Here is a 26,873-nt window from a genome sequence, read left to right as displayed (position 1 = left end):
AATATTTATTAAGCAGATGCTTGTTAAGGAAATTGGTTACACCTATTGGCTGCTCAATCCCCTGAACAGTGCTGAAAACACACTTAAAAATTATTACTCTTTGTTCTTTTGCTTATGAATGTATTTTGCATTCAGAGAGGGTTTTGAAAGATAAATACACATTTCTAATTAAAAGACGCAAGGCTTCATATTGTATGATGAAAAGGCTACATGCTGTATGATTCCAACTATATGACATTCTGGAAAAGGCAAAACTATGGAGACGGTAGAAAGATCAGTGTTTTGGAGTGGGACAGGGGAAGGAGGGGTGAATAGGAGGAGCACAGAGGATGTTTAGGGCAATGAAACTATTCCACATAATACTGTAATGGTGAATACATGTCATTGTACACTTGTCAAAACCCATAGAATGTACAAGCAAAGAGTGAACCCTAATGTAAATGATGGACTTCAGTTAATAGTGGATCAATGTTGTTCTACCAACTGTAACAAATGTCCCACACTAATGCAAGATGTTAATAATAGGGAAAACTATATATGGGGGTGGGGTGAGGGGATATGTGCAAACTCTCTGTACTTTCTGCTCGATTTTTCTGTAAATCTAAAACTAGTCTATTAGTTAACAAAAAAAAGTGAGTGAGATTTTATCTCCCAGACTTACCTACTGGAGATCAGACTTGATTTCTTAAGCTAAAATGCGTGTTTCTCCTTCATGATCTTGAACTACCCGTGCTTATCTTAATCCCAGTATCTCTGCATTATATTATTCCTGCAAGAATGCAAACTCTGTGAGAACAAGGACCATGCCTTACTCATCTTTGTAGGATCATGTAAGTCTTGTGTTCAGACTTGCCAATGGCTTCCCATTCCAAGCGCTTTAGATATATTAGCTCATTTAATCCTTAAAACAACCCTGTAAGGTAGATGCCATTATTATTCTATCAGTTATGAAAAAACTGAATCACAAAGAGGTTAAGAAACTTGCCTGACGTAACCAAACTAGTAACTGGCAGACCTGAGACACCAACTCAGATAGTCTGGCTTCAGAGTGTGCAGAAAAAGTACCAGAAAACCCAAAGATGTTTTAAACTGTGGGTCACAACACATTTTGGGGGTGAAATAATTTTAAGGTGCCTCAAACAAGGATGGTTTTAAAAGCGCAATAGTAGAATGGAAGAAAAAGGAGAAATATCAGCATACCTTGCACATAGTAGGAATGGTATTGTTTTGTGAAACTTTTATTTGTATATTACATGTGTGTATGTTACATGGCACTGAGATGCCATGTAAAATGTATTTAGAAGGCTCACTGTGTTAAACCATAAGGAGAGTTATTACCTCAGGTAACAAGCAGTGCAGAGTGAAGGCAGCTTCAGGCCTGACATGCCATCCCTGACTCCTGCCCCATTACCCTGAGAGCCTGTTGTCCCTGTTCTGCTATACAAGCTGGCTTCATCTCACCAGTTCCTGTCATCATATCCAAACCCAGTGATGCCCAGAGGCAGGGAAACAGCATCACTTCTGGAGAATCCTATCCCAGAAGTCCCTAGGAGATTGCCTCTTGCCTCCCTTACTAGATTAGATACCTCCTTACCTCTCACTGGCCACACCTGGATCACATGGCCACCATGAGTCAACCTGGGGGAAGGAGACCAGGACTACCACGATCAGATTCCACCATCTGATATACCTCTGAGCAAATATATCCATATATCCAGCAAGGGTAAAAGGGGAAATGAGTCTTAGGCACCCAAAGTGTTTGCCCTGAGTAGAACCCAGAAAATAAAAAAATGTTTAAATTAATTTTCTGTCTCCTTAGAGATAGAAGCTTTCTGCATACTACCCATCTATTAATTCATACATTTATTCACTCAACAAATATTTACTGTTTATCTAACGTATGCCTGGCACTGTGCTTAGGAAATGGGGACACAGAAGTAAGTGAAAGAGATAAGACTCATGCCTCCTGGGGATGACTCTAGAAAGGGAGAGAGTAGTCGAACAAATAATCTCAGAAATACATATATGTAACTTCAAATGGCTATAAATGCTCCTAAGGAAACGGTGTGATTGAGGTTGTAACAGGAGGATCTGATTTAGATGGAAAGGGGAGGTGGTCAAAGAAGTCTTTTCAGAAAAGTTCGTTTAAGCAAGATATAAAGAATGAGTAGAAGTTAGTAGAGTGAGGAGTGGGAGGAAGAAGATTCCAAGCAGAGGGATCAACACACACAAAATGTTGGGATTGAAAACTTAGCACTTTAGAAGACTGGGAAGAAAGAGAATACAAGAAGATTTTGGCTATCAAATATAGAGCAGAGACCCTTTATAGGAGACAGAGATTTGAGAACTTTTTAACTCCAGGAACTCTTTGTGGTAACAGAAAAGGCTATCTTTGTTTCTAATATACAGATGTTCTTTCCTAATCCTGGATATCATTGCTTGTTTCTGGAAGATGGGTAGGTTATTCAACTCATTTCTCACAGGAGATGAGAAGCCAAATTTCAGATGGCTTGCAGTATACACAGTTTGAGACAGCTTGAGCTTTTGTTCATCTCAAAGGAAGAGGAATTGTGCAGGCCAATTGATGGTGGCATTCTGTATTGATGGGCCTATTCTTGGGGAAATATGGGTTGCTTTTGTTTTTGTTGTTGTTCTGGTATCTCTGTGCCAAAAGATATTAGGTTCTAAGTATGGGACAGGGTTTCCCCGTGAATGTAATAAACATCGCTCTTGTCAGTCATTCTTGAATATGCGAATACTGAGACAGGGCTGCGTTCAAGGGCATTCCCACTGGAGTCAGGTTAGCTGATCCCTGCAAGATGGGGGCAGCTCTAGGGGTAGGGAGAGAAGTACTCCAAAGAGGACCCTCATACAGACCCCAAGAGTGGTGATACTTTGTGTTTAAGTTTTCCTTTTATAACGTGCTTCTCTTATCATAAAACAAAGTCTTAACAAACCTTCAGCTAAGTCTTAACAAAACCTCTTCTGACCTCAGCTATCTCTATATGGAATTGAAGATAGAATCATTGTCCAAGTTGGGCAGTGTGGCACAGGGGAGAACAATAGCAGTATGTCTTCAGACAAATGGGTATAACTGTGGAAGGGAAAGTAATAGTTTGAATTCCCATGATGGACCCTAATGACCAGTGAATATCAGAATTGGTCTTTGGAGTGTGTGTTTCTTGAGGTTTCTCAGAAATTCCTGGAGATACAAGCCTGGTAATAGACAGTGCTTTCTGCAATTAAAAGAAATGGAGCTGAGACTACAGTGATTTGAGGATTAAAGGTATGTATGAAGTTTGGCATTTTTATTACAAATATATTCTTTCTAATCCTCACAACTGCCCTGCAAGGTGATTTTATTATATCAGAAAAGTGAGGCTCAGTGCAAAGCCTAACCCAAGGCTACAGGGCAAACAAGAGGCAGAGTGGGTTCAGGTCCAAGTTCGTCTGTGTCAGATGCCCAGGCTCATTCTGTTATGTCATACTGACTGCCTCCTTGAATACAACTTATTAGTGTGCTTCCTTTCAAGACCTTCAAAAAAGGAAGGCTAGGGTCGTTCACTTCCACTCTACAGCCAGACTAGGAGAATGACCCAGGGGACAGTGGAAGATGGCAGCTACAAGAAGAAAAAGAACCTTTTGTCTTAGCAGAAACTGAGGCCTCCTGTGGTATCCTTTAACTTCTTGCTACCTTATCTACACATTTATCAACATCTATAGCCATTTTCATCTTTTTTTTCCCTCAGATAAAGTTTCCTTCTCCCGGCCACACGCGGTGACTCACGCCTGTAATCCCAGCACTTTGGGAGGCTGAGGCAGGCAGATCACTTGAGGTCAGGAGTTTGAGACCAGCCTGACCAACATGGTGAAACCCCGTCTCTGTCTCTACTAAAAATACAAAAGTAGCCGGGTGTGGTGGTGCTCGCCTGTAATCCCAGCTGCTCAGGAGGCTGAGGCAGGAGAATCGCTTGAACCCGCGAGGTGGAGTTTGCAGTGAGCTGAGATCACGCCATTGCACTCCAGCCTGGGCAATAAGAACGAAACTCTGTCTCAAAAAAAAAAAAGTTTCCTTTTCCCATTTAAAGCCAAACTTCTACCTAAGCTTCTAATTGCCCCCCACCTTCTCTCAGACGCTGCTCCATCTGCACACCCTCTTTCTTATACTTTAAATGTCTACCCTTGCTAATTCTCATTGCTATACCCATAATATGCTCTCATCTTCGCCATCTTAACCCATCACTTTAAACCCAAATTTTCCACTATGGATCAATTAACTTGTTCCTATTATTATCCACACTTCTCAAAAATGCAGATTATACTTAGTTAGCTCCACTTCCTCCCATCCCAATAATTTCTAGTTTTATTCTGAACTAACTTCTTCCTGTTTCATTACCTTCATTAATGTCACCCTAACATCCTAACGAATACTTTAAAAATCTTTTTAAAGTCTCATATACATATAGAGAAGTGCTTAAGTGTTCACTGCAAAGAACGATCACATAGTGAATACATCCATGTATCTATCACCTGGTTAAGAAACAGGACATTATCAGCATCCTAGAAACACTATGGTATTCTCCCAATCATTATTTCCTCCTTCCTCCCTAAAGGTAACACCATTCTGACCTCTCATACCATAGATTAATTTCACCTGTTTTAAACTTTATACAAATGGACTCTTACATAATGTACTCTTTTGTGTCTGGCTTCCTTTTCTCAACATGATGTTTGTGCAATGTAGCCATGTTATTGCATGCAGCAGTGGTTTATTTATTTTTACTGCTATGTAGTACTTCATTATGTGAATATACTGCGATTTACTCACTTTACTATTAATAGACATTTGAGGTTATTTCCAGCGTGAGTCTGTTTCAAATAAGACTCCCTTGAACATTCTTGTACTTATCTTTTTGGTGCACATGTACACAGTTTTCCTCATCTGTTTTTAAAGAAAGGAAGTTAGTTTGGTTGGGAATACCACAAAATAGATCGGGGAAGTTAAGGCACAATAATATTCAATCAATTGGACAAGTTTATCATGAGCAACGACTGTTCTTACACAGAGATGCATAAGACATGGGTTCAGCCCAGAAAAGGTACTTGGGGAAGGGAAGTGTACTTGTGTGAGGGAATACACAAAGAATAGGGAACAGAAACAGACTGTAATTAAGTGCAAAATTGCATACGGCCGGAGTAAAGTCAACTTTTAGAACCTCTGGGCTAAGACCAGACAGTTAATACTAGGGCTGGATTCCCAATTCCGGCTCTCCCATGGTGACTGGAGAGTCACCTGGAGGCCATGGAAAGAGGGCTGTAGGTCTGGGAGTCAGGCCAACAGATTCCAGACGTATTTCTGCCAGAGTCCCTTCTTCCCTCTGCCTACCTCTCCTGAAAAGGACCCTAAAACCTTGTAAACCAAGCAACCCCAGATGGACTCTGCACTTCCCAGCCCTACAGATAATGTCCTGAGAGGGAGCGGGGAACTAGGGCAGATCTCCCAGGAGGAAGTGGGCTGAGCAGACCCACAATGTCATGGTTGATACCTGAAGTTTACAGCCTGGACGTATTTGGAAGTCAATGAAGATGTGAAAAGGGAGGAGCGGAAAGGCTGCATTGAAATTCAGGATTAGAAGGGGAGAGGGGACAGCTGCAACAATTATGACAATAACAGTCCCTTAAATTTGTATTATGTAACAACCTACAAAGAGTTTTCTATTCCTGAACTTTCACATTTCTGTGGAATGGCAGGGGTTACCCCCATTTTGCTGGTCTGCTCAAGGCCAAGTTTGAATGGAAGGCAGCGACAGGTCCCTAATCCGCATCTCCAGTTCCTCCTCAGGAACTCCGAGAGTGAGAGGACAAGTAGGGCAAGAGACCTGGAGATGGTCGAAGGGCTAAAGCAGTTGCAAAGGGAGAGGTGGAGGGGTTGGAGAGGTGTGAGGACTGAAAACTCTGCCCCTTTTGGGATTCGTTTGGGGCCACCTGGAAGACGGTGATTTCAGCCAGGACATGCGCTTTTGCGGACTGCAGGGTGTTCGCTAAGTCAAGCCTCCCCGGGAGCCCCACGGAGGGTGGGAACGAGGTGGCGCCGCCCAGTCCCGGACGCGCGTCGAGCGCCCTCTTCCACCCCACGCTGCCCTGCCCAGGGCGAGGGCAGAGCGGGCCCGCCCAGGTGCGCCCGGGGGTTGGGCCGGAGTCCGGAAGGTGCGCCGCGCCGCCCCGAACCTGTCCCCTAGGCCTCCCCCCGCGTGAAAGTGAAAGTGTCGGACCCGCGGAGGTCAAGGATAGGGGGGCGGGGCCAGCGCGGAGCTGGGAGCGGGAGCCGGGCACTCCAGGGGCCATGGATGGGCTCGGCCGCCGCCTTCGAGCCAGCCTGAGACTGAAGCGCGGCCATGGGGGTTAGTGCCGGCCGGGGAGAGCGCGGGGGGACGGCGTGGGCACCGGGGAGCCGGGGCTAGGGCTGGCGGCTGGGGCCCGGTGGAGGGCGGCACGGGGCGTCGAGATCCGGGAGCAGTTGGAAGGGGACTCAGGAGGCTGCGCGGGGGCAGGTGAGCGGGAAGGAGCGCGCGGAGAGGGGAAGAGGGTCAGGTGGGGGCGGGGACGGCGAGGCCAGGCCTGAGGGGGCGAGGGGGAGGCGGCGGGACACAGGAAGCCGTTGTGGGGCCCCGGGGCCACGTGTCCTTCCATCCAGGAAGCTTGTGGTGCAACCGCAGTGTGCCTGAAAGCGCCCCGGTTGTGGTGTCCTCCCAGAGGCACTGCCTCAGCTCCCGGCGTGCCCGCCGCCCCGCCCCACCTCGCCGCCCTGGGAGTCCTCCGTGGTCTTTGCCCAGTTCCTCGGAGCCAGCGCCCCTGCCCCTGCCCAGCAGATAGCCACCGGCCACAAACACAGGTCTCCCCGATGACGTTACCACCCCCACCCACCCTCGGCCAGGTGCCCTTCAGAGTGTGGCCTCCAGCGGAGCGGCGGTAGAACCTGCGCAGCTGCTGCTTTCCAGCGTGTCGCCCAGACAGGGCACCCCTTCCCTTTCCCTCAGCCCCGCAACAGTGAAATGGACATAATTCCCCCGTCCAGGATTATGGGGATTAAATTAGAAGTCAACTTCTAAGTTAAAGAAGCACCTTCTTTTCTTTCTTAGCAGAGCCCTGGGGTTGGAAGGAGGGCAGTTAGAAATTCATTCATTTATTCATTCACTCGGCAAATATTTGTGTGGCTTACCACTAGCCAGTCCTATGGCTGAACAGCCGTGACCCTTAGATACTTTGCCCAGAGGTCCTACTGTCTGAGGAGCAAAGAGCAGGGGCCATTCCCAGACAACCTGCCCTTTCCAACATTGGCACGCCAGGAGGCCAAGTGAGCCCCTCTCTTAGCCCAAGCCCCAGAGTTGGGGGGACCTCAGGGAGTGAGGTCAGTGCACCCTTCTTTGAACTGCAGTGACCTCTGAGTGATCTGCTCTTCCTCCTGTTGCCATTCCTCCTGCCACACCCTGCTCCTTCCCTCTTTGTAGTGTCCTCTCTAGACACAGATCTCCAATATCTGGCCATTCCATCTGCACCATCAGGGAGAGGTCAGAGACCACAGTTTGGGGCAGAGGCCTGGGACCGTGCAGTGGTGGGAGCAGAAGGCAGGATGAGGCTGACATTCTCTCTTCTCTGGAGAGCACTGGCCTGGTCTGTCCTGGTCTTCCCAGACCCTGGGACATCTGTGTGAATGGAAGGGGTCTGCCCCCTGCAGCCCAGAGGAGACATTCCAGTTGTTCCCACCCACCCCTGCCCCAACACCAGGCACTTCCTGATTGTGCCTGGAGGAGCTTCCTGATACTGAGGAACTGTAAGAACTGAGGCCTAACACTTGTAGGGCCAGGAGCATATGCCCTCTTCATCTTCCATACCATCCTCCACTTGCCTGGGGATTCTCCCCCTTCCTCCTTTGCCTTTCTGGCCCCAGGACAGTTGTGTATTAGGAGGGAGTGTGTGTGTGTGTGTGTGTGTGTGTGTGTATCCTGGTGACAAGGAGTGATGTGGTGGTGGTCCTGGGTTGAGAGCAGCTGAGCTGGAAGGGATGGGCCAGCTTCCCAGATCAAGGTTCCAGAAGGTCCCCTCACCTATGTTCTAGACAGATCTGGGACTTCAGTCAGGTGTGTGTGGGAGAGGCTTTCTGGTGGAGGAACAAGTGTAACCAGATTCCTGACTTCCCTAGAAAGGGTGGCTCCCTCCTCAACTAAAACTCTGAATAATAATTCCTTTCTAGGGCACTGGAGATTAAATGAGATGCCTTATATGAAACATGAGTTTGATGGAGGTTAGTTTTCTCTTACGCTTTTCTCTCCTGTGGATAACACCTTTTGAAAGAGGGGAGAAAACAGTCTTTTGCTGCATTTCTTGGGCCTCATCCCAAAAGTCTAATTACTTTCTTTTGTCAATGATTTATTAATTTTGCTATTCTCTTGGCTTGCTTGATAAAGCAGAAGAAAATGATCTGAAAACGCAGCCCAAAGGATTTAGGGAAAGGCATAATTTCATTAGAATCTGGAATGATCAGTGATAAGATTCTGTTTCTCAATGTCCTTTGAAAACCTCTGTGGGGTATTTGATGTCAAATGCATCCAGAAGGCAGGAGCATGGATTTGGAGCTTTCCTAATCCCCATTCCCAACAAATCCTGTCAATTTTAATAGCCTTTGAATTACTTTATGCCTCAGTTTCCCCATCTGTATCAGGAAGATGCTTGTTCCTCAAACAGGTGGTAAGGCTTGTGCAACAAGTCTGTGCAGCTTGCAAGTAAGGTGTGGTGCCAGCTCCAAGTGTTCTAGTTCGCTCTTCTCACCCATTACAGCATTTGAACATCTTTCTTTACTGTACATGAGTTTGGCCGTGAGTCCTGGCTTTTTCTAGTCCCACAGAAGCCAGGTCTAGAGCTCTTAGGAGCAAAGCAGCTGTTTTCCCTATCCTAGCACCCCACTCTCTTCCAGAGGGGTGCTTATTCTTAGCAGGAGTGGCAAACACTGGCGTCAAACCCTTTTGCCCCCTGCTTTCCCTTTGAGGCAGCTTCCTGGTAAAAGCCTTCCCTGTATTTACTCATTCAGGGGTTTCTGTGAGAATCCAAGGTGATTTTTTTGCTATTCCTTCTCTCTTACCTAGTCTCCAGACACAGCAGTGGGCTAGCAGCTGTGCCTGTAGCTTGGGCAGAACAGCTGACCTGGCCTGACCCGGAGGAAGGCTGAGCAGGCGTGGGGGTTGGGTGGAGATCACCCAGATGTTTTCCACTGCCATGGAATCACCCTCAGGCTGCTGGTGCAATCAGTCCCCTACCTTATGCTGGGGACAGTCTTCTGAGCCAGTGCTTCCTATTTGAGAAGAGGGACTCTGCTGGAACCCTGGAACAAGTGCCAGTGACAGAACTCTCCAGGGGGTGAAATTCACCATTGTAGCTATTTCCAAAATATCACGAACTCTGGGCTTAGAGATGGATTTTGCTCTCTACTGCACCATCAGGAAAGAAGGCTATTGGGTATTGACTTCCAGAACTCTTTCTTTTGTTGGAAGAATTAATCTATTTGGATAATTATTAGGCCAAGTCTATTTATCTTAATCAGGGGAGGGCAGTGACATCCTGGCTGCAGAAAGTGTTTGGCCATGTGCTCTAGGTCGGGAAGTCCTGGAAGTTCTAGAATTCAGCAGGTGGCCTTGCTGGGGTTTTTGACTTCCGTTGACCAAGTTGAGAAGTGAAAGGTCAGCAATCCAAGTGTTGGAGGTATAGGATCCCTATCCTGAGACCAGCCGGTTTCCAGTGCCCACAGTCTGACACTATCAAGCATTGTCCACTGTTCTAAGGTTGTAAATTAACTCTCTGCACAATCTGCAGCCCAGATTCAAAACCCTTAGCCCATAAGTAGCCAGGCCTTTCCGGCTACTTTCAGCCAGAGGTGTTTGCTCATGACCTTTTCTCTCGCCACACCCTGGGGCTCTTGGGAGGAGCTGAGATCTGCGCTGCAGTGCCAGGATGCTGACTCTGTTGGTGCTGGCTTCTGCTGCCTTCCTGGGTCCCGTCACATCCTTCTTGCTCAACCACTGGGTGCACAGGATGGAAACTTCTATTCCCTCTCTGGAAGACAGCGCGTGGCTTGGCTTCACAGAGTTGTGGCTGGAGACCGAAGCAGCCCCTTTCTCAGGCTTACTGTCACCAGTCTGTCTGTGTTAGGGGAGAGGGGAGTCCGCTCTGTCCTGAAGGCCCAGAGATGGAAGGACAAGTGGTAGGCCGGGTGTTCAGGCTCTTCCAACGCCGACTGCTTCAACTCCGAGCAGGTCAGGACTGGACTGCCTACTTCCTTGTTTTTAGGGTGACCCTCTTAGGCGGGACTGTTTCTTCCTTGAAATGCTCCTTCCTCCTCTTCCTTTATATCTCGGCCTCCACATGGTTCCCCATGTGACTGGGTCAGGAGGCTTCCTCTGCTGGTTTTTAAGAGCTGGTCATGCCCTCTCTGGGGCTAGTGTGGTCACAGTCACATGCCCTTTGAGCCTGTTCTTATTCACTTAGTATGAACTAAACTCTCAGGCCATATTGTTCCAGGACTGCCAGAAGCACCCGACAGGTTAGGCAGTCTCTGTGGTACCCTGGGGCCTTGGCCTCCATGTGGCCTCTCCAGCACATTTCCGTGGCTTCTGTGTCAGTGGTTTCTTTCCTCTGCTTGGCTCCCCATGGTTTCAAGTCTACCAGGGCAGGTGTGGAAACTGCCCATTTGGCCCTGATCCTGAGTGACTGGTGGTTCTGGCCAGTATCCAGGTATCTCAGCATTGGCAAGGCGGCCTTGAGGTGTGGAGGTCACCCGGATTCTCACAGACTCCACTCCAGGAATGGATCAATGAGATTATACTAAATGGGCTCTGGCTTGATTTCAGGACCACCCCAGGACAATTCAGGGGAAGCTTTAAAGGAACCAGAAAGGGCCCAGGAGCACTCTTTGCCCAACTTTGCTGGGGGGCAGCACTTCTTTGAATACCTTCTTGTGGTTTCTCTCAAAAAGAAGCGTTCAGAGGATGATTACGAGCCTATAATCACCTACCAATTTCCCAAGGTAAGGACTGAAGGAGGGGCAGGGCCAGCCAGAGGACTGGGGTGTTTGGAAGGTGGTAGGGGTGGGGGTTCCACCTCCTTCTCCCTACCCTACCGGGGCTTGAGCCTGGAGCTGCCCTGAGCTCTGAGCTCACTGCTCTCCATTTCCTTCTTAGCACAGCCCCAGTTCTCTGTTATCACCCACAGAATCTAGGTCTAACTTCTTTGTGAGGGACTGACCTAGGCTTCCTAGCAGGGAAACTAGGCTAGACATTTTGCCTTTTAGGGGACCTGATAGGTCTTCCAAATCCCATTTTCAGTCACCCTTCTCTGCAGAGAAGCTTACCTTCTGCCAGAACTCCTAGAATGAATCCCCTCTCTGGGATGTGTGGGAAGGAAAGAGTGGGGCAGCCTTGTAACTGGTGGGCAGGCACAGCCCTCTGCCCGAGCCCAAGCATTAGACTCCTTGTCTGATCCTTCACCAGGTAGAGGGTTGGGAAGCCTTCTCATTAGCAGGTGTGCCAACTGAGCTGGCCGCTTCTCTTCTCTGATGTGGTACCTCTCTGATGTTGTCCTCCCAGGGGCCTGGGCCATTTCAGGGCCTTTCTATATTCAACATGGCCCTGTCCCCTTTCTATGTAGATCTCGATACTGAGGTCGAACTCAAGCTTATGTAGAGTTGACCCAGGAGGGGCTGTTTCAGCTTTGGAGTTGTTCCAACTGGACCCAGAATGCAAACTGTGCAGAGTCATGGGCAAAGGCACCCTTCGCCCCTATGCTAGTGGAGAAGCTTAACCCTAGACTGCTTTAGAGCCTCAAAGGAAGCCCACCAGCTCTGAAGCTGTCTCCTGCTATCTCTGCCCCCAGCTTCACATCCACTTGTCTTTTCCTTTGCCTTATAGCGGGAGAACCTGCTTCGGGGTCAGCAGGAGGAGGAGGAGCGGCTGCTCAAAGCTATCCCCTTGTTCTGCTTCCCAGATGGGAATGAGTGGGCATCACTCACCGAGTATCCCAGGTAATTGCTCAGCCCTGGGCAAGGGTATTGGATTTGGGGAGAAGGAACATGTGTGAGTTCTGTGGCTCCTGTAGCCTCCCTCACTGCTGTCATTTGTTGATTTTCGGCCTGGGAGTGTAATTGATTTGTTTGAAAACATCTGGCCTGGGGTCCCTCAAGGCCAAGAATATGAGCTATCAGTTTGATCAGTCACTTCTGTCCAAAGAGCCAGATTCTCCCACCTGTCCTAGAAGCAATAGTTGCTGCTTTTAACTCTGCTACTGGCCCAAGCTGGACTTAGCAGAAAGCAGTTAGCCTCCAAGAAGGCGACGTAGCAAAGGCCCTTCTAGCATGAGCCCTGGAATTTGACTGCTTGAGCTTTGACTTCACTATTTATGAGTTGAGTGACCTTGAATAAGAAGCACCCTCTGGCCTCAGTTCCTTCATCTTTAAAGTGGGAATAATTACTGAACCTACCTCAAAGAGTTGTTTTGACAATTAGATGAGATGATGTGTTTAGGGCCTGACACCAGTGAGCCCTTACTCCTGTGATTAATCAGCAACTCCCCTTTGCCCTCCTCTCCACCCTCTAGTGCTGACCACTTTCCTGTTTTAGGATTCAGTGAGCAATACAAATCAAGCCTTGTCTGCTCTTTCTTAGGGAGACCTTCTCCTTCGTTCTGACCAATGTGGATGGGAGCAGAAAGATTGGATACTGCAGGCGCCTCTTGGTCTGTGCAGCTCAGAACTGCCCCTTCCTTTCTGCAGTCTGCTCAGCTCCACGGCTGGGCTTGCTCAAGCCTGAGCTGCAAAACTCCGGGCTTATTGGCAGCACTGGTTGTAGAAAAAGCACAGCCCAGGACCTGCTGCCATGCTAGTGCTCCCTCTGCAGCCCCACAAGCACGAGGACCTGATGCCCCTTCTCCCGCTGCTGGTCAGGCTCTGGTCTGTGCTCTCTCTGGCTTTCAATACAACTAACTCCTCTCCCTGCCTGCTCTATCCAGGCCTGCTTACCTTGGCCCCTGGAGCCTCCCAGAGCAGAGGCTGGGACTTGGACAATTAGTTTCAAATCTTAGGTCTCAGGAGGATTCCCCAAGTCACCTTTACAGTGCTTTCCTCCTTAGCCATTTCTTCATCTCTAAGGCACACTTGCTACCCCTCTTTGCTGACCCCAGATTGTGCTGGCACTGAAGGTGGCAGCGCTTGCCCACCAACTCACCCAGTACCCTCAAGGATTTCTTCTTTTGATGCTGGTGGCCATTCTGACCTCCCTGCTGCACCCACCATTCCCCATAAATCCCCCTCCCCAGCCCTCAGCCTTGTGCTCCTTCATACCCAGTTGGGAGAAGCCCTTGGGGAGGCTGCAGCACTGAAGGAGCCTCTCTGTCCCTCCCCAGCCTGCCGGCCCTGGCCCTCGCCTTCCCAAAGTGTACTGCATCATCAGCTGCATCGGCTGCTTCGGCTTGTTCTCCAAGGTAGGGATAGGATTCCTCAGGGCCTGCCCATATTCCAGGCTGTCTCTGGCTGCCAACCCTGCCTGTGCAACTAAGCTCTTAGTGGAGCTCTTCTCCCATAGCCAGAGTCAGCATTAAAGCACACTTGGGAAAACTGAGGCAAAGGGGCATGCACTTGACTTAAGGGAAAAGTGGAAATTGAATCTAGGGGACTGGACCTCTTGCAGAGACAGCTACTGTTCCCACTCTAGCCAAGTAAGAAAGTAGTTGAAGTAGGACAAGCAGAAGAAACTTCTGCCCTGAGTTTCAATTTCCTCATCCGTCGAATGGATATAATAATCTCACCTTCCTATCTCACTGGGTGGCGTGAGGCTTAAATGAGGTGATATATGAGAAGACTCTTTATAAAAGGCAGAGCACTAAACAAATATGAAGGAGTTATAAGACCCATTCTGACTCCTTCAAGGGTAGAAGAACAGTTGAGGTCCCCAGGACTTCTCTTGGAGCTAATTTGAGTGCCAGTGCATCTGAGACAGAATTTGAGCAGAATCCATGGGGGCCATGCCATCCACTGGTGACCAGAAAGGACTTCATTATGCTCTGACCCCAGCAGGACCTTTGGAGGAGGAGGGGAGGAAACTCTGTCAGCTTTTGCTTGGGCAGAGCATTCCTTTGTGCAGTGCTCCTAGGGATGGAGGCAGTCTCTGACCTCGGGAATCTACAGTGGGAGTTGGAGGACAGAGTGGTACCAAGAGGCTTAGCCTTCTAGCCTCCTGCTCCAACCAGCATGAGTGGACATGGTACCATCATGGGTGATGAGTTTACTCCGGGATGACTTCCCAGGGAGGTGCTTTTATGTTGGTGTTAGGAGAGGGGAAGAATATGGATGTGTAGAGAGATAATAAAAAGGAAGCTGGAAGAAGGCAGGTCTTATGTGGGAGATAAACTGCAGATTATTTAGCATGAGCCCAGCCTCTGCCAGGGAGGGAGAGGACCAGTTCGTGGAGGGCCCTAGAAGATACATGAGGATCAGCTGAACCAGTATGAGAACATTATGACGCTCAGGGGCAAGTAGAGTCTCTTCCACCTGCCTGGTAGTGTCCCTTTGAGCCGTGCCTCCCGTGGTTCTTTTCCCTGCAGATCCTGGATGAAGTGGAGAAGAGACATCAGATCTCCATGGCTGTCATCTACCCGTTCATGCAGGGCCTCCGAGAGGCAGCCTTCCCTGCTCCTGGGAAGACTGTCACTCTCAAGAGCTTCATCCCCGACTCAGGCACTGAGGTGGGTTAGCAAAATGGGTGAGACCTTCCCTAGCTGGAGAGGGTAGGCATCTGTGGCACCTCTCACCACTGTTCTTCCATTAACCAGGTTAAAGTACAGAGAAACTGAGCCAGATGGGGACTGGGACTTGGTTAGAATGGACAAAGCTGAAATCAAACCCAGATTTTCTGATCCTTCTAACTTGATACCCACAAGCACCTAGTTACTGCTCAAGCCACCAAGACTTTTATTTATAATAAATAAACCATGTAAGTTGAGGCTTCTGGTGCTATAAAGGACTTTTCCCTCAGCCCTCAGACTGCCACTTGCCGCTACCCCCCTTCCACTCTCCTTTGTTTGTCCTGTCTCTACCTTACAGCGTCCATCTGTCCATTTCTTATCATCCATCCCCACCTCCGAGTCTCCACCCATGCACAGGGGAATGCTATCGTTTTAAGGCACCAAGCACACTGAGGCAGCAGGTAGAACACTGTTCTAAGAATTCCAGTCCTGTCCTCTGGAACTCTGAATAGTCTGTGTGCCCCTTTGAACCTTGGCTTCCCCACAGGAAAATAAGGGGAGAGGCTAGAAATTTTCACTTTCTCAAAAAATAAGTGCTTAATGCTTGCTGTGTGCCAAGCTATACTATTTTCTGGGAATACAGTGGTGACCAAAATGAATGTGGTCCCTGACCTTTTGGAGCTGTAAGTCCAGTGGGGAGAACAGATGTTAAATAAACACACCAGTGCATGTTGAATTAGAAATTATGTAACTGTGATGAAAGAAAAAAAAACAAAACAGGGTGCTACATAAGAAGATGGGAAAGTATCACATGGCCAAAGGGGGGCCTCTGTGACCTGAAAGAGGGTAAGAATGAAGGGAGCAGAGCAGTGCAGGAGGAGGGCCCTCACTGTGAAGGCTGCAGGCAGGAAAGATGGGATTGCTCAAGGAACAGAAGCCCATGTGGTGAAGCACAGTGAGAGAGGGGCGTGTGCTCGGGGAGGCGAGTGAGGGAGGGTGCAGGACATTATGGGCCATACTCAAGATCACATCAGTGCTGTCCTCCAGCCAATTAGCAGGGGGACAGAGAGACAGGGCCAGATTCACTCCTGGGGGCAGAAGGAATAGAGGCTGGTAGAGGCCTAGCACCTCGGGGTCTGCATGATCTTGCAGTATAGTGACACCTTCTCTCTCTCTGGTTTCCCCACAGTTCATTTCACTGACACGGCCCCTGGACTCCCACCTAGAACATGTGGATTTTAGTTCTCTATTGCACTGTCTCAGTTTTGAACAGATACTTCAGATCTTTGCCTCTGCCGTGCTGGAGAGAAAAATCATCTTCCTGGCGGAAGGTCTCAGGTGGGCCCAGCCCCTGGACGGCTCACCTGAACTGCCCAGCATCCCTGGGTTCAAGGGAACAGACTGGAGGTTATCCAAGGAAAATGGGCTGTAGGGTCCATGCGCCCACCCTCCTGTTTCTAGCTCCTTGTTCTTTAAACCAAGAGAAACAGCTGTTTTGAACCACCCCCACTGCCTCTTCCTCCACACAGGACTGCTGCCTGGGCCTGAGGAATGCTCCTGACTTAGCTTGGGGAAGGACAGGAAGTATTCCTGGGACAGCCTGGGTGGGACCAGTTAGGGTGGATGCAGACATGATTCTGCCCTTGCAAGGCTGAGGGAGGGTGGAGAACAGGGCAGGAGGTAGATACTCATTCAACAAACATTTATTGTGTGTCAACTGGTTGCCAGATGCCAAGCATTGGGAAGATACAAACAGGACAAGGTCCTTCACCTGAAGGGGATGCGGAATTACATACTGGTTGAAAGCACAGGGATTGAAATCAGCAGAATTAGGAGGTTTAAATCCAGTTCTTCTACCTTTAGCTATGAGGTTCCCATTAAGTTAGTTTGTTAACTTCTTAAAAATGGAAATAATGATTGTGATTACCTCATAAGGTTGTGGTGAGGATTAAATGAAATAATGCACATTAGGTACCTAACACCCTGCTGAGCACATATTGCTGAGTGCTAGCTTCTGTTCTTAAGTTCACAGTTGAGTATATCCCTGTGTATAGTGGAAGCAGGGTACTATTGTGCCATGGTCTCTACCTTTTAGGGGCTTCAGATCTGAGAAGGACGTGGGGAGATGTAATAGAATGGAGAATGAAAGAAGTCATAAAACAGTAGGGGTAGGGGTAGACCTTCTATTCATATCTGGGGAGGGAGAAAACCAGTGATTTTAGGTTGACAACCCTGCTTTTATCTTTTAGGGAAGAAGAAAAGGATGTTAGGGACTCAACAGAAGTCAGAGGGGCAGGTGAATGCCATGGGTTTCAGAGGAAAGGAAACTTGGGCAAGCAGTGGGGTCTCTGTGTTGAAGATTCTGTAAAAATGGGTGATAACCAAAGAGGAACTAGTTGTAGGTAATCCTTGAAGGGAGTGGCATCATCTTTTGCTTTGGAAATAGCTCTTTCACTCCCAGCCTTGAATGGAAACCAGAAATTCCTGTGTGGCTAGAGCTGGGATTCTGCCTTTCCTCCTCAGATCAGTGTTTGGGAAGTGGAGGTCGGCAGGATTCACCTCTCAGACGTTTACTTTCTTCAGGGAAATCCCACCACTCCCCACTTCCTTCCCACACTGAGTTTTTCAGCTCCCTGAAGCTCGGACAGGGAGGGGACTTCCAGTCAGCTAGCCTCTCAGAGACTCAATTTTGCTAATTCAGGAAGTGCCAGCTTGAAACCCAGAACTGAAACAAGGATTCCCGCATCTGTGCTTTTATTGGCCTTGACTTTGAGGCAATTTGGCTGGAGTAAAGAAGAGCCATGAAAGCCAGGGGATAAAAGAGAAAGACAGAGAGTGGGACTGTGTGTATGTGGTGGCGAGAGGAGTAGGGTCCAAGTTGTGACTTGGGCAGGAGTGACGAGAAATGCTTCACTGGAAAGTCTTGAGGAGGCACCTTTGTGGGACTTTCCGTGTAGGAATTGCTGGGCAGAGGTTCCTAGAACCTGGGAATTTCCCAAGCTACTCAGGCAGCAACCTGGTAATCTTTAATAACCTCGAGTGTGCCCAGAGGGGGCTGTGTGGGGGCAAAGGCTGGGGATGAGGGTGGATAGACATAGCGAGGTAAAAAGGCTTTGCCTCTCGGCTGAGCCTCCAGTGCTTGTTTACATGTTTGTCTCTTAACTACACTGTGAATTCCTTAAAAGCAGGGTCAGTGTCTTACTCTTCCTGGTATCCACATCTGTGAGGTATGCTCACAGTTGTGAGCACAGGCTAGGGGCTCAATCAATTATCTCCTTGAATGAAAGCAACTCTTCTTCCCTCTTCTCTTCAGAGTCACTTTTATTTTTGGCCAGTAGTAAGTTGAGAAGACTAACTGGGAAAAGAAGGGTCAAATCAAGGCCCTTCTTGATAGTGAAGCCTCAGACTCTCTAGTTTCTGTCCCTCCCTCCCAGCAATGTACGTTCAAGCTCTGTGACCAGCATGGCCCCCAGACTTGCCTTTCTGCCCATGGGCATGGGCAGCACTGCTCTAGCTGCTGTTGGTGGTGGGCGATGAGGGGTGTGTAGCATGGTGGTGCAGGGGCCCCCTGACTCTCATCCTCTGTGCTCTGTCCCAGCACCTTGTCTCAGTGCATCCATGCTGCTGCCGCACTGCTCTACCCCTTCAGCTGGGCGCACACCTACATCCCTGTTGTCCCTGAGAGCCTTCTGGCCACCGTCTGCTGCCCCACCCCCTTCATGGTTGGAGTACAAATGCGCTTCCAGCAGGAGGTCATGGACAGCCCTATGGAAGAGGTATGATGTGGCAAGAAGAGTGCATGATTTGGAGCCAGGTAGAGTGGGATTCAGATCCCAGCTCTGCTGCTTACAGCTGTGTGATTAGGGGCAAGTTACCTTACCTCTTTAAGCCTGAGCTTTCTCATCTCTAAAATGGGGATAACAGTGTTCACTTCCTAAGGATTCTGGGGGAAACCACCTGCCTAGAGCTCCTAACCTGGCACCCGACACACAGGTGATGCTCAATAAATGCAGGTTCCCTTCTGAAGGATTCCCCTTTAGGCATAAGGGGCAGTGGATAGCTTATTCAGGGGTGAGCAGACTGTTCTGTGCCAGCTGGCCCTAATGAGCAGTCTTCGGGGTGTCCCATCTCATCCAAATGTATGACACAGCTGGTCTATACAACACACACCCCACTGGAATGTATTTGAATTCCTTGGAATTGAGCTAACATGGCCCTCTGGCAAACTATGAGTCTTAAAAATGCAGATTTTTGCAGCAAGTCATCTTTCTGAGTAGCTCAGAGCTAAGGTGGCTAATGAGGATATAGGTCTGAATCCTCTTTGATTTTGTTAGCTTCTTACATCTTGGCAGTGCACCAGACACACCAGAGAACTCAGTTGTGAAAATGGGCATTAAAAGCGTAAATCTATCCCCGCTGTTGGAAAAATAACTCAAAACATGTGCTTTAGAGTTGTCAGTATAGGGACTTTCAAAAGATAGTATGTTACTGTATCTCAAGCCAGAAGAGGGACTTGGGAATGTCTGCCCTGGCCATAACCATTGACTCACTCCAAGAGATAACTGAGCTCCAGAGACTTATCCAAGGCCACATAGACAACAGTGGAACCTAGCACAGATAAAACCAAATCCTCTCCTATAGAAACCATTGCTGCAAAGTAAAGAAGAAGGCTGTGTTTCCCTTCTTTGCTCCACCGGCCCCCTCATCCTTCCTTAGGACTGCTGAGTACACATGCCCTTTGAACCAGCTTTAGCCTTGTGACTAACTGGGACAGAGTATTAGCCCCATGTTTAGCAATAAACATTTAAATGTTCCAACCCCAGAAATTATGAAACTTCTTGACTCTGCAGCTCCAGCTCCCTGGAAGCCGTGGCTCCTCTCCTGATGGCCAGTCAGACTCTGGCTTTTGGTAAGGGATTACTCCACAGACAATAATATGCCCAAATACTGGAAAGATTTCTGGGAACAATCTTGAAAAACAAATTATTTATACACACTCTCTCCCCCCAATCCCTCAAAGGAACAGTCTTCCCTTCATGAAGGCATCTGAGCCTATGTATACAAGTGGTTTCAGGCCTGGACTAGTTCAACTTTTCTCCCCTGATGACAGATAATTACAGTGCATGCTCTATTTTTTGGCATACTTTCCACTCTCTCCTTGTATTTGGAAGAAGGGACAATGGAGGGATCATTCTCTCTATCAAGACCAAGGGTCACAAATGGAAAAGAGAGGCCCAGCGGGCATTTAAATGACCAATACATGATTTGGGAAGTTACGGTAAACTGGTGGGAACATGCCCTGCCTAAAGCAGGCAACTGCTACTCAGTTCCATCTGAGTGTTGTCCTTTAGAAATGTGGACCCAGTGTTAGATCTCCTGACTTTTCAGGAGAAGCCCCAAATCCAAACTTTATGTGAGATAGTCCAGTTTAAATATTGGAAACCAAATCAATTACTTAAAAATACTGTGAAGATCAAAGAAACAGATCTGCTGGTTGGAATCAGCCAGCAGGATGCCTATTTGTAATCTCTGGTCTAGACTGAAGGCTCCCTGGGCAGTGATGGGGCCAGTGCTAAAACTCAGGTCCCCCAAGTTCCAGCCCAGTGCTTATCTCACTTGAGGACTGTAGACACATGGTCTCCTCACTTCCTTTCCTTTCCTCTTCCTGTTGACCCTGGGCTCATTTTCTTCCTTTGCTGTTTCCTGCTGGAAGGCCCAAAGCTGTGAGGTAGTTTTTTTTTTTTTTTTTTTTGAGACAGAGTCTCGCTGTGTCGCCCAGGCTGGAGTGCAGTGGCGCGATCTCGGCTCACCGCAAGCTCCGCCTCCCGGGTTCACGCCATTCTCCTGCCTCAGCCTCTGGAGTAGCTGGGACTACAGGCGCCCGCCACCACACCCGGCTGATTTTTTGCGTTTTTAGTAGAGACAGGGTTTCACCGTGTTAGCCAGGATGGTCTCGATCTCCTGACCTCGTGATCCACCCGCCTCGGCCTCCCAAAGTGCTGGGATTACAGGCGTGAGCCACCACGAGAGGCAGGAGTTTTTCTAATAGAAAATTGTACATAAGATGTTGCAAGCATGAAAAAAATAAAAAGATGTTGGTCTCTGTTCTAGAGAGCAGGGAGTTGAAGGGGAATTGTAGAGAGAGGAATGCAATCTCAAGAATATCAGTCTAGGCTTGGAAAAAAATTGGTTCTCTTATTAGCAGCATAGTATGACCTCGGGCAGCTTCTTTGGGTCTGTTTCCTCATCTTCAAAATGGAGATTGTATCTGCCTCACGGGACTGTTGCTTGAGATCAAACGTGTAAAGCACTTATGTGAACAATGTACTAAATGCTCCATGTAGAAGCAATTTCTGCAGTCAATGTTTTATTAAGGGAGTGACTGGCTGTGATTTCTCCATCTTGTATTTCCCTTCTACCTTAGCTCTTTCTCCTACTCCCTTCCTACAAACACCCACACCCTTTCCTCAGGAATGGAACTGAGATCTCCAGAGGGGAATGGTGAGAAAGGAGAATGCTAGATAGGAAATGAGAACTGAAGATATTGATTTTGTTGCTACCTGGGCTGAAAGATACAGCCACAGGCAGAAATCAAGACGGTAAATCCTCTGGGGGTCTATGAAGAAAGAGGACCAGAGAAAGCCAGTCTATGTTTATTTCAGGTCCTGCTGGTCAATCTTTGTGAAGGAACCTTCTTAATGTCGGTAAGTGTCTGGGTTCAGATCCCCTGCAGGCCTATCAACAACTCTACCACTCTAGTTTCATCCATGTTCCACTTATTTAAACAAACATTTAAGTTCTTTGTTGAGTGAGAATCTGTGCTAAAAAGACCACATCTCTCTCAAGGAGCCCATGGACATAAACACAGATGACTTCACTATAAGACAATCAGTGATAGTGCCTTTTAAGCAAGGGATATAAATCAAGTACCACCGGGATGGAGAGGATCCCTTGCTAATGTCTAGAGTCAAACTAAAGGCCAAGAAACAGCTTCTGTTGTTTCTGTCCTATGTGGCTATTTGCGGGTGGAGTGGGGGTGTAGAATTCATGCCCTCCTTATGCTTTTCTGCCAACCACCTTCACTCCACACTTCCTTCCTGCTTGACCTCGGAGCTCTGTCCTCTTCTAGGTTGGTGATGAAAAAGACATCCTGCCACCGAAGCTTCAGGATGACATCTTAGACTCTCTTGGTCAGGGGATCAATGAGTTAAAGAGTAAGTCCTTACTCTTATTTTGGGTCTCTCCAGGCAGTGCAAGGGCATGCTTCTCAATCATTCCCTTCCAGAACTAAAATGAACTCATTCAGTAGTCCTAGACCAGCCCTAGAGGCCTAGAACCTAGGGCAAGTCTGAATTTGGGATTGTATTCTTCCTAAGCAATGGCAGAGAACTCATACCCAGATTCCCATCTCAGTCAGTAATTATGAACCCTACCCTATGGCTTTCCCCAGGAGCTTTCCGCCTGCAAGAAAGCCATTCTTGAAGGTGAGTTTGGGTAATTTCATCCTTCTGCTACCCTCTGAGATGGCCTTTATATCTCCTGCAGCTGCAGAACAAATCAACGAGCATGTTTCAGGCCCCTTTGTGCAGTTCTTTGTCAAGATTGTGGGCCATTATGCTTCCTATATCAAGCGGGAGGCAAATGGGCAAGGCCACTTCCAAGAAAGATCCTTCTGTAAGGCTCTGACCTCCAAGACCAACCGCCGATTTGTGAAGAAGTTTGTGAAGACACAGCTCTTCTCACTTTTCATCCAGGAAGCCGAGAAGAGCAAGAATCCTCCTGCAGGTACAGTAACAGTCCCCATCAGTCTAAGCCCATAGAGGGTTACCTCTAGAATAAAGAGGAGGGGAAAGAAAGAATACTTCTCTTTAGAAACCCACAAAATAGCTGTAGGTAGACTTTTATTAGTGGAGTTGAAATGACATAACCTGAAACCTAAGAAAATGTCTAATGGGCTGCCATTTTGTGGAAGTTGGTTTACCCATTAGTGAACAGGACTGAGCCCTTTCCTCTGTTTTAGTCTAGAGCTAATTCCTGCTAAGTATCCTCTGTTTATGGGCTCCTTTTTGGACAAAACTGAATGTCTGGATCTCCAGAACCTGTGAGGCCAGAGACATCCTGGCAGGGATGGCAGTATGGGGAGCAGACAGGATATTTCTGATCCTTATTCCTGAGCTCATTATAATCTGCCTGACCAGATCAGATGCCTCTAACACCTGTATTTGAACCCACAGGCTATTTCCAACAGAAAATACTTGAATATGAGGAACAGAAGAAACAGAAGAAACCAAGGGAAAAAACTGTGAAATAAGAGCTGTGGTGAATAAGAATGACTAGAGCTACACACCATTTCTGGACTTCAGCCCCTGCCAGTGTGGCAGGATCAGCAAAACTGTCAGCTCCCAAAATCCATATCCTCACTCTGAGTCTTGGTATCCAGGTATTGCTTCAAACTGGTGTCTGAGATTTGGATCCCTGGTATTGATTTCTCAGGACTTTGGAGGGCTCTGACACCATGCTCACAGAACTGGGCTCAGAGCTCCATTTTTTGCAGAGGTGACACAGGTAGGAAACAGTAGTACATGTGTTGTAGACACTTGGTTAGAAGCTGCTGCAACTGCCCTCTCCCATCATTATAACATCTTCAACACAGAACACACTTTGTGGTCGAAAGGCTCAGCCTCTCTACATGAAGTCTGTGGACATGTAAGGACGAGAGTAAAGAGGAAAATCTTATTTTTATATGTGTCTTTGGCTTTTACTATGGGTAAAAGTATTTTCCTCGTGGAAAATAAGGCAATGAATATGACAATCAAGTGGACTACAAGTGGAAGACCTGGCCATGGGGATATGTTTGGAGTGATAGAATCATGGGGGGCAGCAGCTCTACTTCTTCTAACCGGAAGGGTAAGAGATACTGGTAAAAGCAGCAGCAGCACTGGACACAGGGCATCTAAGTCCTTGGTTTGGAGTCAGGTGTGCTTTCCAGAATCCTGGGAGGAGAGGCTGCTCACTGAAGGGAAGCAGCTTCAGTCTAGAGTAATTTGAGGATAGGAATTTCAGTCAACAGCAGCCTGTGAAGAACACTACATGGCTTCCATACGTAGGTCTGTTTCCCCATCACTTTCAGTTTGCACTAGTCCTTTACCTTCAGTCTTGGACATCCTACCTCCAACTGATCTTTATTTTGAGCAGCACAGTCCAATTCTTTAACTAAAGGTGAAGGGATCGCTGCACTGACGTTCTTCCCCTTTGAGAAAAGAATCGTAATTTTAAGAGTCTGAAGGAGTTTAGTGGTCACCTAGTCTCTCCTCCCTTGATACCTCTACTGATACTTTCTACTCAAGCATTGGGAAGCTTTTTTAGAAGAATCTTATCTTCAAAAATTCTACCTTTTTTAATGTGTGTATTTGTGGCCCTCAGAAGTTCCTAAATTCTATACAAAGAACACAAAAGTTTCTGGAGGGTGGAACCGGGCATACTGAAGTTCAAGCCAATGTAATTTGCTTTTGGGAGTGCAGAGACCTACTGCAGGTGGCAGATGTCCCACTGTCCACACACCGTGCTTAGCTACACTACTATTCTTCACAGCTTCTAGGAATTACATTTTTTTTTGGTAGTTTATGGCAGTGGTGCCTAAATATAGTTGTACCTCCAAAGGTTTCAGAACAGGAACTGGAATCCTGAGAATCTTGTGAAAATATCCTCTTATGCCTCATCACAAATACACCAAATCATCTCTAGTGATAGGACCTGGAAATCTGTACTTTCTTAAAAGGTTCTTCAGGTAAGGTTTGCTGAGGTTTATTACAAATGTACCCTTGATTTGATGCTAATGCTGTATTTAGGGCTGAAGGAAGCACACACTAAATATCTGAGTGCTTTTCAGATTCCATCTATGCTGAAAAAGAATCTAGGAGAATAAACACATTTCAATTAGCCCTTAACATCTTGCTTCAGAACTTTAGCCCACTAAAGCCCAGTAGGGCATAGGAGAGAACACTGCACCAGGATTCAGATCTGGATTCTAATTTTTGTTCTGAAAAATAGCAAGTGACACTGGCATGCCATTTAACCTCTCCGGGCCTCAATTTCCACTATAGATAGTACCTGATGTGTCAGTAAGACAACTGATGTAACTTTGCCAAACAAGTAGAATTATCCTTCCTCCTTTGTCCTGCTCTGTCCTAGCTTTTAATACTTGGTCTGCCCTAACATTTTCCTGTATGTATTTCTTTATCCCAGATATTCGAACAATTGCTAGCAAGGAAAAGTAATGACGGATTTTCATTTCCCAATATAGTCTGGCAAAGAAATGAAAGGTTTACTTCTCCTTGCTAATTCAATCTACATGGTATTGATGGAATCATTAAAAGTGCAAGCAAGCAGCGCTCTGGCTGCCATACAAGGCAGTGTAGCTACTGTTTATTCCTGATTATGGGACAAGATATAGATGAAAATCAATAATAAGACACCTCATTTTAGCCAATAGTTTAAATCTTTTCTCCTGTGTCCCTCTTCTTCAAGCAACTGAATTATCTGTATAAAATGGAAACATATCTGGTTCCCATTTCAAACGATAGTACAGATACCAAAGAGGAGACTGCCAGAAAAGGAGAGTACAAAGTGACCTCTTAGAGAGGCCCAGGCACTTGCTGAAAATTTAGGGGAAGGGTATGAGATTTCTAAATGATTGATAATCACACAGGTGACAACTACAACACAAAAAAACCATTGACAGGAAAAATGAACATAGTTCTCCTTTTTAAAGTTTCTACAAAATAGAAATGTCACAAGACACATCACAACAATGCAGTGGACCACATTTTCTTATTTATTAAAGAACAGAAATAAATTTTGCTTAAATTTAAAAAAATAACATTAAAACTTAGTTTATCTTTCCACTGAGTAAAACTGAGAAAAAGTTGGCTTTTAGATCATATATTTATTTAAAAAAATAAAATGGGAAATTGACAAAGTTACCACATTATTCTGCATGCTAACAGGATTTCCCAAGCCTGTGAGAGAATCATTTCTTGAGCAATTAAAAAAAAAAAAAAAAAAAAAAGGACTTCCTCAACAATGTAAAGATAGGAAACTTTTCAATCCAAATTCAAGGTCTTTATTACTAGTTCCACCTCACAAGCTAGTGGGATGTATCTGTGTCACAAGCTGAATTCCTCAGTAAAGAAAGCTTGAGAAGACACTAAACAAGGATGTTACTAAAAGACAATGATTTGTTAAAATTATAAAGCAATCATCTTTTGGCCTGCAAACAGTCAACATTAGAACTCTCCACCACTGCGGATCTGGCTCCCCATCACAGTATTATTCTGAATCCAGGATAATTACAATCACATGGCATTTTTTTCTGCATGCTTTCTTGGCCCAAACCCTGCATGACAACATATACAATTTACAAGATGGGACTTGAAATTCCCATTCTCACACAGGATAGTTAGGGCGTGTTACCAATAATAAAGAATAAAAGTTATACAACATTGATTATTATAAATTATATTTGTTCTTATCCACCCCCATTCTCCTTAATATGTTACTTTCTTTCCTGCAGAAAACATGATGTTCCTATATACCAATTACATCATTAATGATGATTAGAATGAGCTGTAGAGACCTTGATTCTGAAGACATGTATGTGCAGGTGAGACGCAATCTGATTGCAAACACTGACACAGTAGCGGATCAAATCAAAGAAAGAGAAAACCTGGAAAGAAAAGAGACATTCTCAGCACCCGTTTAGGCTCTCCCTAAGCTTCCTGAAAGTAAAGAGGACTGGACTCTGTTCTCTCTACAGATTCACCTTCCATTCCATAAAATAATTCAATTTCCTTGCAATCTTTCCTTCACATACAAACTCTTTGTTAGAGAGACAGATGGCAAATATTTTAAGCTTTATGGGCCTTATTGTCTTTGTCACAGTTGCTTAACTCTGCCATTGTACCATGAAACCAGCCACAGACAATATATAAATGAGTGGCCATAGCTGTGTTCCAATAAAACTGTATTTACCAAAACAGGCTATGGGCCCACAGGGTGTAGTATGCTGATTCATGCTTTTCTACTCAGTCAGA

General features: G+C 46.8%; 2 protein-coding genes across 20 annotated transcripts in view, besides 5 other annotated features; one reads left to right on the top strand and one right to left on the bottom strand.

Moving 5' to 3' along the window:
- Positions 5,990–6,829: a silencer, noted in NCBI's record as "silent region_1182". NCBI's record gives its function as "represses an Ori minimal core promoter by ATAC-STARR-seq in GM12878 lymphoblastoid cells {active_cell/tissue: GM12878}" and the evidence as "EXISTENCE:reporter gene assay evidence [ECO:0000049][PMID:35858748]".
- On the top strand, positions 6,119–24,728 carry DENND2D (DENN domain containing 2D). Of its 12 annotated transcripts, none has more exons than XM_011542190.3 (13): positions 6,119–6,207; positions 8,252–8,302; positions 10,899–11,074; positions 11,955–12,067; positions 12,708–12,777; positions 13,444–13,521; positions 14,641–14,781; positions 15,971–16,119; positions 18,380–18,557; positions 21,444–21,485; positions 21,911–21,995; positions 22,327–22,566; positions 23,016–24,728. In XM_011542190.3, exons 2-13 carry the CDS (start codon positions 8,272–8,274, stop codon positions 23,090–23,092), a joined length of 1,380 nt encoding a protein of 459 aa, XP_011540492.1. In that variant the 5' UTR covers positions 6,119–6,207; positions 8,252–8,271; the 3' UTR covers positions 23,093–24,728. The 12 variants fall into 12 exon arrangements, 11 of the variants coding, with proteins under 11 accessions (XP_011540492.1, XP_006710984.2, XP_016857877.1 ...); XM_006710921.3 differs by having other exon boundaries at positions 6,119–6,401; XM_017002388.2 differs by lacking the exon at positions 8,252–8,302 and having other exon boundaries at positions 6,119–6,175.
- Positions 9,850–10,009: an enhancer, noted in NCBI's record as "active region_1484". NCBI's record gives its function as "activates an Ori minimal core promoter by ATAC-STARR-seq in GM12878 lymphoblastoid cells {active_cell/tissue: GM12878}" and the evidence as "EXISTENCE:reporter gene assay evidence [ECO:0000049][PMID:35858748]".
- Positions 10,250–10,419: an enhancer, noted in NCBI's record as "active region_1483". NCBI's record gives its function as "activates an Ori minimal core promoter by ATAC-STARR-seq in GM12878 lymphoblastoid cells {active_cell/tissue: GM12878}" and the evidence as "EXISTENCE:reporter gene assay evidence [ECO:0000049][PMID:35858748]".
- Positions 12,882–12,931: a silencer, noted in NCBI's record as "silent region_1181". NCBI's record gives its function as "represses an Ori minimal core promoter by ATAC-STARR-seq in GM12878 lymphoblastoid cells {active_cell/tissue: GM12878}" and the evidence as "EXISTENCE:reporter gene assay evidence [ECO:0000049][PMID:35858748]".
- Positions 22,193–23,392: an enhancer, noted in NCBI's record as "CDK7 strongly-dependent group 2 enhancer chr1:111729927-111731126 (GRCh37/hg19 assembly coordinates)". NCBI's record gives its function as "activates an origin of replication core promoter dependent on BRD2, BRD4, P300/CBP, MED14 and CDK7 cofactors, with strong dependence on CDK7, by STARR-seq in HCT116 cells {active_cell/tissue: HCT116}" and the evidence as "EXISTENCE:reporter gene assay evidence [ECO:0000049][PMID:35650434]".
- An 864-nt stretch (positions 24,729–25,592) lies between the features above and the next one.
- CEPT1 (choline/ethanolamine phosphotransferase 1) overlaps positions 25,593–26,873 on the bottom strand; it is a 45,606-nt gene continuing 44,325 nt past the window's right edge. For all 8 annotated transcript variants that reach the window (NR_138485.2, NR_138483.2, NR_138484.2 and 5 more), the window contains one exon: positions 25,593–26,506. Coding sequence is in view for 5 of the 8 variants with exons in the window: in NM_001410844.1 (NP_001397773.1) it covers positions 26,387–26,506 (120 nt within the window). In the remaining 3 variants the exon portion in view is untranslated. The remainder of the gene's footprint in view (positions 26,507–26,873) is intronic.

This window comes from Homo sapiens, chromosome 1 (genome assembly GCF_000001405.40).
Source record: "Homo sapiens chromosome 1, GRCh38.p14 Primary Assembly".
NCBI classification, from domain to species: Eukaryota; Metazoa; Chordata; class Mammalia; order Primates; family Hominidae; genus Homo; species Homo sapiens.
The sequence above is the reverse complement of the archived record's forward strand: the minus strand, read 5'-3'. Positions and strand labels throughout refer to the sequence as shown.